The 13,800-nt window shown below is 44.1% G+C and overlaps 1 protein-coding gene across 2 annotated transcripts in view, besides 2 other annotated features; it reads left to right on the top strand.

Annotated features, from left to right (window-relative positions):
- The window catches only part of MYO10 (myosin X), a 274,382-nt gene that overhangs the window by 136,242 nt on the left and 124,340 nt on the right, over positions 1–13,800 (top strand). For both annotated transcript variants that reach the window (XM_006714475.4, NM_012334.3), the window contains exon 4: positions 5,214–5,401. In XM_006714475.4, the coding sequence (XP_006714538.1) occupies positions 5,214–5,401 (188 nt within the window). The remainder of the gene's footprint in view (positions 1–5,213; positions 5,402–13,800) is intronic.
- Positions 4,766–5,293: an enhancer, noted in NCBI's record as "H3K4me1 hESC enhancer chr5:16794863-16795390 (GRCh37/hg19 assembly coordinates)". NCBI's record gives its function as "activates a minimal SCP1, AML or CMV promoter by ChIP-STARR-seq in primed H9 embryonic stem cells {active_cell/tissue: H9 hESC(primed)}" and the evidence as "EXISTENCE:reporter gene assay evidence [ECO:0000049][PMID:30033119]".
- Positions 5,294–5,821: an enhancer, noted in NCBI's record as "H3K4me1 hESC enhancer chr5:16794335-16794862 (GRCh37/hg19 assembly coordinates)". NCBI's record gives its function as "activates a minimal SCP1, AML or CMV promoter by ChIP-STARR-seq in primed H9 embryonic stem cells {active_cell/tissue: H9 hESC(primed)}" and the evidence as "EXISTENCE:reporter gene assay evidence [ECO:0000049][PMID:30033119]".

The raw sequence follows: 13,800 nt of genomic DNA, 5'->3' as shown, positions 1-13,800 counted from the left end.
AACCGTGTGCTTTTTGAGGCCATCTGGTAAAGTGTTCTGTTTCACAGCATGCCCGATTATCTTTTCTTCTGAAAGATGGTGACTCAGAATTGATTGGTGGCAGTAGTGTGGGGTGGCAGGGACTCGGCTTAGCAGAGGAGAGTATCCCGATGCCTTTTGTGAGCTGCGTGACCATCAGCAAGGATGCCACATAATTCTGCAGAGTCTGTGGGCTGCCTCCCCAGGGAGCGTCCGCTGTTAAGAGTCCTTTCTCAGCCGGGCACAGTGGTTCATATCTGTAATCCCAGCACTTTGGGAGGCTGAGGTGGGTGGATCACCTGAGGTCAGGAGTTTGAGGCCAGCCTGGCCAAAATATATGAAATCCCGTCTCTAGTAGAAATGCAAAAATTAGGTGGGCGTAGGGGCACACACCTGTTATCCCAGCTACTTGGGAAGCTGAGACAGGAGAATCGCTTGAACACGGGAGGCGAAGGTTGCAGTGAGCCGAGATTGTGCCACTGTTCTCCAGCCTGGATGACAGAGCGAGACTCAGTCTCAAAAAAAAAAAAAAGTATTTCTCTTCTAAAGCACTGCTGATTCTGGTGGAAGAGGACCTGTGGACATTGATTTCTGGGTTGCATATGTTGTCTCTAGTTGCCACAGCTACTACATTGTCATTCTGAAACATTTAAAAACTATTTCACTGGACAAGGTGTGGTGTGAATTACTGTAAAAAGTCAAGCATGAGACCATTTTGGATGTTGCGTCTTCACCTTTGCTAACAGGCTTAATGCCACTTTGTCTTCTACCTTCATTCAAAGCCCATGTCATCCACACTGTCAGAACGAGCAGTATCTTAAAAGGATGCTCTATGGCTAGTGAGGTTCCCCAACCAGGAGGAGGAATATGGTTTAAAAAACATGATCATTCTTTTGAAGAAAGCTGTGTAAGAAGTTTTAATAATGGTTTTATAAGTAAATCAGTGCCTTAAGAAAGAAAGGCTCATCTTAGAATTTTACAGCAACCATACAAACGTGTCATGAATGGGGCATGCAAAATGATATGGGCATATCATTTTTTAAAAGGTGTGTTAATGATGGGTGAATATCCTAATAATAAATTAATTAAATTTAATAATAAGCTTAATGCCCATGACTGTGGCTTTCACCCTCTGCTTGCAACTGAGGAAGAGGATTGGTGTGTGCTCAGTTGAGCCCGCCGTGTTGATGGTTGGCAGTGTTGACTGTTGCTTGTCAGCTTCCTCTGACCTACCTGGCTGCATAAAGAGTGACAGTCCTGTCACAGTAGGGAAAAAAATAAGAATGTATTTCACAGTAAAAATGAACATTTTTGATACTTAGCAGAAAAAAGAAAATAATGTAAACAACTATCAAAAAGGTAGAAAACAAACATGGCATTTTAAACAAAGTAGTGGAAGGGGCCAGGCACTCACAGCCTCAAGTATTGTCTGCCTGCTCCCTCACCTCTGCAGATGTTAGATAGAAGGAGGCACTGGAGTGTCTGTGGTCCAGGCACTGATGGAGGATGGAGGCATCCCAAGGAGTAGGACACTTTTTTTTTTCCAACTTCCATCTTTTTTTTTCTGGCCAAATCTTCCCCATAGTGCTCCGACAGGACAAAATGGGTTTTCTAGAGAGTTGATGTTTCCAAGGACCTGAACATTTACTCATAAAAGCACCAGATCTTTTTTTTCTAATTAAGGTGAAATTCATTTAACATAAAATTAACCATTTTGAAGTGTACAACTCAGTGGCATTTAGTACATTCACAATGCTGTACAACCAACAACTCTGTTTCAGTATGCTTTCTGCTGCCAAAACAGGATACCACACACTGGGTAATTTATAAGGAGCAAAAGTTTACTTGGCTTATGGTTCTGGAGACTGGCCAGTCCAAGAGCATGGCGCTGGCATCTGGTGGGACCCTCTTGCTGTGTCATGGCCTGAGGCATCACATGATGAGAAAGCTTGAGTGTGAGACAGAGAGAATGCATGTCGAACTTACTCTTTTATTAAGAGCCCACTCTGCAATAACTAACTCACTCCTGCAATAATGGCATTAATCCATTATGAGAGCAGAGCCCCATGACATAATCAGCTCTTACCTTTGTAATCACCTTCCTAATACTGTTACAATGGCAATTAAATTTCAACACAAGTTTAGGAGGGGACAAACATTCAAACCATACAACCTGTATCTTAGTTCTACAATATTTTTATCACCTTAGGTGGAAACCCTGTACCAGTGAAGCAGTCATTCCCCTCTCCTGCCACTGTCTGCTTTTAGCAACCACCCATCTTGCTGTTTCTATGGACTTAACCTATTCTGGATATGTGAACTTTTGTGTCTGGCTTAATATGTCTCCAAGGCTCATTCACATTGTAGCATGGATCAGCACTTTATTCCTTTTTGTGGCTAAGTAATATTACATGGTGTGGGTATGCCACATCCATTCATCTGATGATGGGCCCTTGGCATTGTTTCCACCTTTGGCTGTTGTGAATGGTGCTTCTGTGAACATGTGTGTACAAGTGTTTGAGTATTTTCTTTCGCTTCTTTTTGATATGTATCTAGGAGTGGAATCGCTGGGTCATATGGTAATATCTTTTATGTTTTTAACCTTTTTTTAAATCTTTTGCTTCATATTATTTCCAAAACACATTCCAGGTTGAGTAACCCTTATCCAGAATGCTTGGGACCTGAAGTGTTTTGGACTTCTGATATTTTCTCTGATTTAGAAGTATCTGCATTATACTTACCAGTTGGGCATCCCTCATCAGAAAATCTGAAATCTGAAATGCCCCCATGAACATTTCTTTTCAGCATCATGTTGGTGCTCAAAAAGCTTCAGATTTTACAGCATTTCAGATTTTGGTTTTCGGATTAGTGATACTCAACCTGTATGGACTTATTTGCATTTGAAAAGTTATACTGAACAAAACAATACTTTGCTTGATGTTCCTGGCTGATACTATGAATATAAAATATTACAAATTGCTATAATATGGTATAGATGCTCTCAGGATGTTTGGACTTTCTGTCTAGTTTTCTTGTTTTTTGTTACCCTCCGCCAACCCCCCTGGGTGTATGCATCCCTGGTGTCTTTTTGTGTGTTCAAATTTCCTCTTCTAACAAAGACACCAGTCAGATTGGATTAGGGCCCACCCTAATGGCCTCATTTTAAGTTAGTCACTTATTTAAAGCCCCTATCTCCAAGCATAGTAACATTCTTAAGTACTTGGGATTAGGGCTTCAGCATGTGAATTTGGGGAGAAGGCATGAATCAGCCCTTAACAGCCCATAAAGCCCTAGACACACTGTACGAGCTTTGTAAAAGTTGGTTGGTGGTTAGTGGTTGATGGTGGTTGCAGGACTCTCTGCTCCCACCCCTGTCTGACTGACTTCCCTAGTTGTGTCTGAGCCTGGAAGCCAGGTAATCAGAGTTAGTATTTCCTGTAAAAGTAGAAGTGAATAGTTATGTCCACATGGAGAGGCCTAAGGCATTAAGCTTTGGTAACTCTGTAGCCTCTATTTATTTATTTATTTTCCTTCTTTCTTTCTTTCTTTTCTTTTCTTTTCTTTCTTTCTTTCTTTCTTTCTTTCTGTCTTTCTTTTCTTTCTTTTTCCTTTCTTTCCTTTCTTTTTCTTTTGTGTTGTGTTCTGTTCTTTTCTTTTTCTTCCCTTTCTTTCCTTTCTTCCTCTCTTTCCCTTTCTTTCCTTTCTTCCTCTCTTTCCCTTTCTTTCCTTCTTTCTTTTCTTCTTTCTTTCTTTCCTTCTTTCTTTCTCTCTCTCTCTCTCTCGCACGCTCGCTCTTTCTCTTTCTCGCTCTCTCTCTGTTCTTTCTTTTTTTTTTTTTTTTTGACAGAGTCTCGCTCTGTCGCCCAGGTTGGAGTGCAGTGGCGCAATCTTGGCTCACTGCAACCTCCACCTCCCAGGTTCAAGAGATTCTCCTGCCTCAGCCTCCCGAGTAGCTGGGATTACAGGTGTGTGCCACCGGGCCTGGCTAATTTTTTGTATTTTTAGTAGAGACGGGGTTTCACTCTGTTAGCCAGGGTGGTCTTGGTCTCCTGATCTTGAGATCCTCGCACCTCGGCCCCCCAAAATGCTGGGATTACAGTCGTGAGCCACTGCGCTCGGTCTGATACCTAGCATTTTCGAAATGGTCACGTTATCTTTTAAAAGCTGTAGCTAACTCTGCATAGCATAAAATTTGCCATTTTGACTATTTTGAAGTGTACAATTCAGTCATATTAGGTACATTCACAGACCTAGCACTTTGGGAGGCCAAGGAGGGAGGATCACTCAAAACCAGGAGTTCGAGACTAGCCTGGGTAACAAAGCAAGACCATGTCTCTACAAAAAAAATTAAAAATAAAAATAAATAATAATAAGGACATTCACAATGTTCTGCATCCACAAGTACCAACCACTTCCATAACTTTTTTTGAGATGGAATCTCACTCTGTCGCCCAGGCTGGAGTGCAGTAGCACTATCTCGGGTCACTGCAACCTCTGGCTCCTGGGTTCAAGTGATTCTCCTTTCCCAGCCTCCTGTGTAGGGATTACAGGCAGGCATCACCATGCCTGGCTAATTTTTGTATTTTTAGTAGAGATGGGGTTTCACCATGTTGGCCAGGCTGGCCTTGAACTCCTGACCTCAGGTGATCTGCCCGCCTCAGCCTCTGGAAGTGCTGGGATTACAGGCATGAGCCACCAGGCCCGGCCCACTTCCAGAACTTCCCCATCACCCTAAATAGAAACTCTGCACCCATTAAATTGTAAATGTCCTTCTCCCCCAACCCCTGGCTACCTCTCTTCTCCTTTCTGTCCCGTCACTTTTTAACCATGCTGTTTCACAGTAGCCATTTAATGAGACAGGAGACTGGACCTGGCCAGTCCTTTGCCCATGGGAAGGGATTAAGATTGGTGAGGTCAGCGGGGAGCAGGGATCTGGGCCTGGGGAGCAGGGACTGGGCCTGGGCCGCCTCACCATCTTCCTTCTCTTGTTTCCCTTTCACTGCCATCCCTCTTTGAAATGGCTTCATTCATTTGTCCAGAATATCAAGATTTGGTACCCAGAAAGGCAGGGACAGTGTGCACCCGGGAGACAGAAGACGTCTTTCCCCCTGGCGCACACTCGGTGGGTTTTGTTGGAGCTCATCCAGTGGCCTGGGTTAGAAGTGACGCATCCCTGTCTCACTCTGTGCTTGCAGACCTACATCGGCTCCATCCTGGCCTCCGTGAACCCCTACCAGCCCATCGCCGGGCTGTACGAGCCTGCCACCATGGAGCAGTACAGCCGGCGCCACCTGGGCGAGCTGCCCCCGCACATCTTCGCCATCGCCAACGAGTGCTACCGCTGCCTGTGGAAGCGCCACGACAACCAGTGCATCCTCATCAGGTAACGGGGCTCACAGCCAGTCGGACTTTCCCATGGCCCAGGAGTCCCTCCGCGCACCCCCAACCCCAGCCTCCTTAGGGCATTAACCAGAGGAAGCTTTTACAACCGCCTGAGTTTCTCCGACAGAGTTTTCTGTTTTGAATGGCATGGTAACTTCAGCTTTCAGAAGGAGCTTACTTAGCAAAGCAGATGGACCATGTTGCTTGGCTCTTGTCCTCAGAATAATTATTCCATTCTGTTCCTTTTTTTTTTTTTTTTTTTTAAAGCAACATTTATTTGCCTTAATTATTCTTTGATTTATTTCAATGATGAGGCATGGTCCTTCTATCTGTTTAAGGAAATCTTGCATAGTTCTTTCAAATTTAAATGTTTTATATAGCCTACAGTGCTACTCACAAGGCTTATGTATGTGAACAAGGTTTCTTTTTTCTCTACTGCAATAAAATAACTCTAGATAGAATCTCCCAAATTTAGGAATTTTTAATAATAGGGTGCTCTTAAAGTTAATTAGCCACAGAAGAGGGGCTTACTGTGTGTATGTTAAGGGCATGTTTATTTCAATATTTTTTTTTAGTGGGTGAGAAGGCACTTGGCATGTCTATTTTAGCTGAGTCGTACTCGCTTTTACAAAGAAACTATTAGGAGCCCCAATATCAGCTCCTTTATTACTAGAAACTGTCTAAAAAAGTAGTAGAATTTCTTTTTTTTTTTTTTGAGTTGGAGTTTCGCTCTTGTTGCCCAGGCTGGAGTGCAATGGTGCGATCTCAGCTCACTGCAACCTCCGCCTCCTGGGTTCAAGTGATTCTCCTGCCTCAGCCTCCCGAGTAGCTGGGATTACAGGCATGCGTCGCCACCACCCCAGCTAATTTTGCATTTTTAGTAGAGACGGAGTTTCTCTGTGTTGGTCAGGCTGGTCTTAAACTCCCGACCTCAGGTGATCCGCCTGCCTCAGCATCCCAAAGTGCTGGGATTACAGGCGTGAGCCACCGCTCCCGGCGAGTATTTTTAAAATAAATATTTATTGGCTGGGCACAATGGCTCACACTTGTACTCCCAGCACTTTAGGAGGCCAAGGAGGGTGGTTCACTTGAGTTCAGGAGTTGGAGACCAGCCTGGCCAACATGATGAAACCCCATTTCTACTAAAAATGCAAAATCAGCCAGGCGCGGTGGCTCATGCCTATAGTTCCAGCTACTTGCGAGGCTGAGATGGGAGGATCACTTTAACCCGGAGGTGGAGGTTGCAGTGAGCTGAGATCACACCACTGCACTCCAGCCTGGGTGACAGAGTGAGACTCCTTCTCAATAAATAAATAAATAAAATTTCTTAATTTTTATTATTAACATTCAAATTGACCTCATCACATGTATGCTATTGACATCCTGTTGGAGTTTGTTAATTATTTCTATTGGACCTGTGCTCTAGTGATGATCCTCACACCCCTGGGTGATACTCAGAGCAGACGGGATGCATGTCAGTCTCTTCTAGTGAGGTTTCCGTGGAGGCGCCAAGCATTTCTTCATTCATTTCTCCTCGCAGGAGTTCACTCACGGGGTATAGTTGTTACTGAGGAGCCACAGTCTTGTAAAGCTGCCAGTGTGAACGAAGATTCCGACATCTGCTTCAGATGGCTTTCTAGTCCCAACTTGTGGCAACTTGGCTCTCGTCCTCAGAATAATTATATTATTTCCTCAGAATAGTTATTATGTTATTTCAGGAGGAATGGGAAAGGGAGAGGAAAGGGTGGTTTGGATTTGGCGGGTGATGTCGGGGGAGGGGGGGACACTAAAAAGACCCCTCTCTCCGGATTTCCGATTCAGTGGAAGTAAGACCACAGGAGACATATGGAGAGCCATATGTCAGCCTAAGACTCCCAGCCAAGTGGGCCTGTGAGCACTGCAGCCCCGAATCACACAGACAGACCCACCTGGTCATGGGTATAGCCAGGTAACTGGTGGCCATGATGACTGTGGGAAACTGATTCCCAGATGGTGGAGAAAAGCAGGCAGGTGCTGCCTTTCTCCTTTCACCCCAGAGCACTTAGAGCAGCCCCCCGCCCCCCGCTCCTGTGGGGAGGGACTGGGGTTGGGGGAGGACAGAGGTGCCAGAGGAGGCCCCTCTGAAACCCTGGGGCAGGGAAATGGATGGAGAATGTTAGCATTATCCCATGTGAGAGCTGATTGAGGATGGATAAGAAATAATGGCTCATGGTTTCTGAAGGATTCTGCGTGTTGGACTCTGTGCCAAGAGCTTGCCAGGCATCGGCACATTGAAACCCCTGACAGCCCTTTGATTTGGGTGCTCTATGATGATATCTGCAGGTGCCACACACGGAAAGCCATTTGCAGGGGTTGTGTTCTTCTCACTGGCAGTTTTTACCCGTTATCTTTTTTGTAGTTCCTTTTTTTTTTAAACAAATGGGGATTACATGTATATGAACAGCTGAATTCTGTCTCTGTCTCTGTCTGTCTCTGTCTCTCCCTCTCTCTCTCTCTCTCTCTCTCTCTCTCTCTGTGTGTGTGTGTGTGTGTGTGTATGTATGTGTGTGTCTAACAGGAGGGGAGCATATGGGCAGAGGTACTGTCTTCTCGTTACCTAAAGTCTAACAGGACTAATAATGTGTTGGGCCATAGAAACAACTTGGATAGAGGGACTGTCAGTGTATTCAGTTAAACAGATAGGGATCATAACGGCTTGCAGTTAATCGAAATGAAGCGGCTGCTTAATATAGAAACAGCTTTTAAGATTCACATACCCAATAAAACAATTTAATCTGTGACTAGAACCACTATTTGTGGGCTCTTCTAAATGACTTCATAAAAGTTCTGGAGTTAGAATTTAAAGATCATTATTTCAGCATACAGAATATAATTTAAGAAGATTAACAGAAGGGAAGAAAACAATCTATTTTAACAGATCAAGTTGGTGTCCACACTTAGATCCTTAAATAATTGCCATTGATAATTGCTTGTATTTATTACATTCAGTGGAAAAAATGAGAGCATGACTAATATATCATTTGCTAGACAGAGCCGCTAAAGAAGAAAGCGAAACATCAAATGAGATCATTGTGCATATGTGTATGTGTGTGTGTGTGTGTATGTATGTATTAAAACGGAAGGAGGTTGGCATTTTCATGGTATTTAAAAATAAGGGGGAGAGGGGGGTGGATCCCAAACAGAAAGCTCCAATTATGCAATGCTGATGTGAACAGAGTAACTGTATTTATCTAAATTAATTCAGGAAACAGAGACTTTAAGAATAGATTTCTCATTAAAATGTGTTTTAGTTTTAATAGCTCTCTTCAGCAGTTTTTTAAAGTGGGGGTTGAAGCTGTGGGAATTAAGAGAAAATGGAATATAGAAATAGGAGTTGCTGGACGTAGGAGCCCTGTTTAGATTTCCTTGGGCATGATCTGCCCCCTGCTGGCTAAAATGTGTTTTACTACTTTAAAAACATTCTCATGCTTGAGAAAATAAGCCTGTTTGAATTATATAGGACTTCATAGATCAATTTTTCTCTCGCTTTATAAGTGAACATCGATTGGATAGGCTCCTCTGCTACTTGGTGGCAATGCCAGGTCCCTGGGCTTCTAGTCCAAGCCTCTTCCTTTGATTTCATTTTCAAGGTTGTTGCCTCTCTTAAGGTCTAGTTTTAATTTTGCCATTTTTGTGTACATTTAAATGAATGCTCATGCTATTACAGTTTTGAATATATGTGTGTGTGTGTGTGTATATATATATATATATAAATTTAAAACTTACTTGAATTTTCCATCTCATAAGGTCAGTGTTTGACTTTGGTTGATCTCTAGTACATTTGACATTGACTCTAGTTTTTCATACACCGTATAGGCCAGACAGGGTTTAGTTTATTATGGTGTATTAGTCCGTTTTCACACTGTTGATAAAGATATGCTCGAGACTGGGCAATTTACAAAAGAAAGAGGTTTAATTGGAGTTACAGGTCCACGTGGCTGGGGAAGCCTCACAATCATGGTGGAAGGCAAGGAGAAGCAAGTCACGTCTTACATGGATGGAAGCAGGCAAAGAGACAGTGAAGAAGATGCAAAGGCAGAAACCCCTGATAAAACCATTAGATCTCATGAAACCCACTCACTACTGCGAGAACAGCATGGGGAAACCACCCTCATGATTCAGTCGTCTCCCACCAGGTCCCTCCCACAACATGGCGGGAACCATGGGAGTACAATTCAAGATGAGATCTGGGTGGGGACACAGCCAAACCATATCATGTGGTCTTTGCAGTACATATGACTTCTTAAGGTGTATAATACAGACAAGGCCTGTGGCTAATTCATCTTTGCAGCCTGGTACCCAGCACAGTGTCTGGGAGAGGACCAGCATTCAACAGCTGCCAATCAAAGGATGAATATACAGAATGACTGTTGGTTCAGGATCTTTGCTTGCTTTGTGTGTTTTGGTTTTTCAAAACTTGAGTGATTTCTACTTAACCATGTCCTGGACTGGTAATTGAGTGTTTGGTCTTTTTCTATTTCTAGAAATACATTTAGAGGTGATAGTGTTGGAATGCGGAACAAAACTTGCATCCTCGATTAGAAAGGCACCAAGCAGAATAAGGCATGGGGGCGTGCTCTTGTAATATAGCAGATGAAAGAGGTGGAGTGGGAAACACAAAGAAAAAGGAACTGAAATTCATCGAGAAGACTTATTCTTGTGTATTCCTCAGAGGGGCCCAAGAGGCATTTTCTGTAGGGAAGCCGAGGCCCAGAACTGTTTGGTTGGCTTGCTGAAGAAACTTTAGCTATTGGCAACAAACATAGGATTTGAACTTCAGTCTCTCTGCCTGTGAAGTCTGTATTTCTGTTTTTTGTTTGTTTTTTGAGATAGAGTCTTGCTCTGTTGCCCATGCTGGAGTGCGGTGGCACAATCTCGGCTCCTCCTCCCAAGTTCAAGCAATTCTCCTGCTTCAGCCTCCCAGGTAGCTGGGGTTACAGGCGTGCACCATCATGGCTGGCTAACTTTTTTTTATCGTATTTTTACGATATGAGGTTTCACCATGTTGGTCAGGCTGGTCTCCAACTCCTGACCTCAAATGATCTGCCTGCCTCAGCCTCCCAAAGTGCTAAGATTACAGGCATGAGTGAAGTCTGTATTTCCAGAACAGAATCCTACTTTCTGGTACAGCTTCCAAACAAAAGGGCTTTGTTTGGCTTGCTAAGACCTTTGGAGTTAATCTTTTAGGCAGTAGAGAAGTTTCCCAAGTTCATCTAACAATTGAAGGAATGATCCGATTTATATTTTGAGAAAATCATGTGGATCAAGGGAATTGATTTCTAAGTAGTGTTATAGATGGCAGCAAAAAGTTTTGTGTAAAGAGCCAAAGAGTGTATATTTTAGGCTTTGTGGGCGAAAGCACCTCTGTTGCAACTAATCAACTCTGCCCTTGTAGTGTGAAAGCACTCAGTATGCAACGCACAGCCTGCACTGTGTTCCAATAAAACTTTATTTATAAAAACAGGCAGCAGGTCAGAGTTGAGGACCATTGTTTGCTGACACATGGGCTGGATCTAGAAAACTGCCAGCCTTGATGTGTGCTGCTGGGAGGCTAGCGTGTCCTGTGCACCAAAGGCCCTGCTCGTATCAGATTCCTTTTCCTTCAGGTGTGTCATGGATCCCTCCTCTCTGCTCACCCGAGGACATTGCTGCATCTCTGAGCCTCCTTGCCCTGGATTCTTTGACCTCTCTCTCAACTGGATTGTTGACGTTATTCAAAATCTTTTAGTATGTTCCATCTTGGAAAAAAATACAAAAGATGCTCGTTTGGTTCCACAGCCTCATTCAACTACTCCTTCGTCTCAGCAAGCTGCCCCCACGCCCCCCACCATGGCGCCCCATCCTATATTTCTTCCTGGCTCTCCACGGCCACTCCTCAGCTTCTCAGTCATTTTTCATCTGCTGTCTTCTCACCCACCTGCGTTTTCTTCTCTGAGTCTGCAGGACTCTCCAAGTTTATACACCCTCAACTTCTCATTTGAGTCCCAGACTTAAGTCCCAGTGCCCCTTAGGTGTCATCACTGAGATGTCTCAGGGGTGGCATGTTCTAAAGTCAGTATCATCTTCTCCCAGAAACTTGTCCCTCCTCTTGTGCCTCCTATTCTCAGCCAGTAGCCTCTCCATCCTACCCTGTCCCAAGCCTGAGATCTGGAAGTGATTCTTCCCCGCCGCCACCAAATTAAGGTAAACTTACACACGGTAAAGTATGCCAGTCATAAGCATCCAGTTTGATGAGTTTTGACAAATGCACAAACCTGGTGGTACCAATTCCTGAATCATCACGCCAGCAAACACTCAGGGGCCCCAGGAGTCATCCCTGATGCCTCCCTGTCACTTGCTGCCCACCCCCTGGCCAGGCCCCTCAGCAATCCTGTCCCTTTCCCTCCAGTCTTTCTTGGGCCTCTCACTTCATCTCTGCTGCCCCCGCGGCCCTTCCCGCATCACCTTTTTGGTCTCCCTGATTCTTCTCTTGCCTCCTTTCTGTCCATTCTCCACGCAACAGTCAGAATGATTCTTTGGGGCCTGGTGGCTCATGCCTGTAATGCCAGCACTTTGGGAGGCCGAGGCGGGTAGATCACCTGAGGTCAGAAGTTCGAGACCAGCCTGGCCAACATGGTGAAACTCCGTCTCTACTAAAAATTACAAAAATTAGCTGGGCGTGGTGGCAGGCGCCTGTAATCCCAGCTACTCGGGAGGCAGGAGAATCGCTTGAACCTGGGGAGGTGGTGGTTGCAGTGAGCCAAGATTGCGCCACTGCACTCCAGCCTGGGAGACAGAGCGAAACTCACACACACACACACAAAAGAACGATCCTTTAGAAGCTTAAATCTGATCATGACACTCTCCTGCTTAGGAACTGTCTTGTGACTTTCCATTGTGCTTACAAAAAATTCTCACAATTTTTAATACAGCCTGTGGCCCCCCATCAGTGCTTTGGGTTTGTTTTCACATTTTCATTATTATAGTTAGAAAGTTTTTTTTTTTTTTTTTTTTTTTTTAAAGCAAAACAAAACAATATAAGCTCCTTTTGGTTAATCTGAATGCACACATTTTTGCCAAAGCCTGTGTTTGTGTTGGCTGGCCTGCTGGCACAAGGCATAGAACTGTAATTGCCTTGGGCTAATGAGGACCAAGTGGAACTGCAGGCTGGAGGAGGAGGAGACGGGTTAGACAGAAATGTACTACCTGCAGAGTCTGTGACCTTGACATTAGTATCTCGGGACATCTGGCATATTTCTGGGTTTTAGCAGTTTGTGAGTTATTTAATTATATTTCTTCTTTGCCCTGTTGTTTGTAAAACACTTCCACAGCCCAATATATGAGTAGACACCACTTACCTCCTGGTAGAGTCCTATCTGAATTATGTGAGGCTGCTTTCCAGAGTAGCAGTTCTTCAACCTGGCTTCATAGTAGAATCATTCAAAAAAAAAGAGAGACAGGGTCTTGGGTCTCGCTCTGTCACCCAGGCTAGAGTGCAGTGATGCAATCTCTGCTCACTGCAACCTCCGCCTCCCGGATTCAAGTGATTCTCCTGCCTCAGCCTCCTGAGTAGCTGGAACTACAGGCACCCGCTACCATGCCTGGCTAATTTTTGTATTTTTAGTAGAGACGGGGTTTCACCATGTTCGCCAGGCTGGCCTCGAACTCCTGACCTTAAGTGATCTCCCTGTCTTGGCCTCCCAAAGTGGTAGGATTACAGATGTGAGCTACTGCCCCCGGCCAAAAATTTTTTTTTTTAAATAAAAATGACAGAGTTCTACACCCACAGGTTTGGACGAGGGACCTATTAGGTGATTCTAATATGCAGCCAGGGTTGAGAGCCACCACCGTAGAGCTCTGTGCAAATCTGAGGGTTTTTCCAAGTTTTACTTGCACAGCTTGAGTATCCCTTATCCAAAATGCTTTGGGCTAGGCATATTTCAGCTTTCAGGTTTTTTCCAATGTTTTTGGATTTTGGAATCTTTGCATTATACTGGTCGAGCATCCCTCATGTGAAAATTTGCCCCAAAGAACCCCAAAGAACATTTCTATTGAATGTCATGTTGGCACTAAAAAAAAGTTTCAGATTCTTGACCATTTCAGATTTCATATTTTCAGATTTAGGGTTACTCAGTTGGTGTAATGCAGATATTCTCAAAATCCAGAATCTGAAATCAGAAACACTTCTCGTCCCCAGCATTTCAGATAGGAGATCTTCCACCTGTATAAGAGATTGACAGAGATTGATATCCATGACTTGGTCCATTTCCAGCCGTATTTTTTCTCAATGTGTCATACACTCTTGAAGCATCTTTATGACGACGAGAATCCTGGGTTTTCTTTCTTTGACCAAGCCTCTGCTGTAGAGTTTGAAGAGTATCG

The sequence above is a fragment of the Homo sapiens genome, chromosome 5 (genome assembly GCF_000001405.40).
Source record: "Homo sapiens chromosome 5, GRCh38.p14 Primary Assembly".
Taxonomy (NCBI): Eukaryota; Metazoa; Chordata; class Mammalia; order Primates; family Hominidae; genus Homo; species Homo sapiens.
This window is presented reverse-complemented; position numbering and strand designations above follow the sequence as displayed.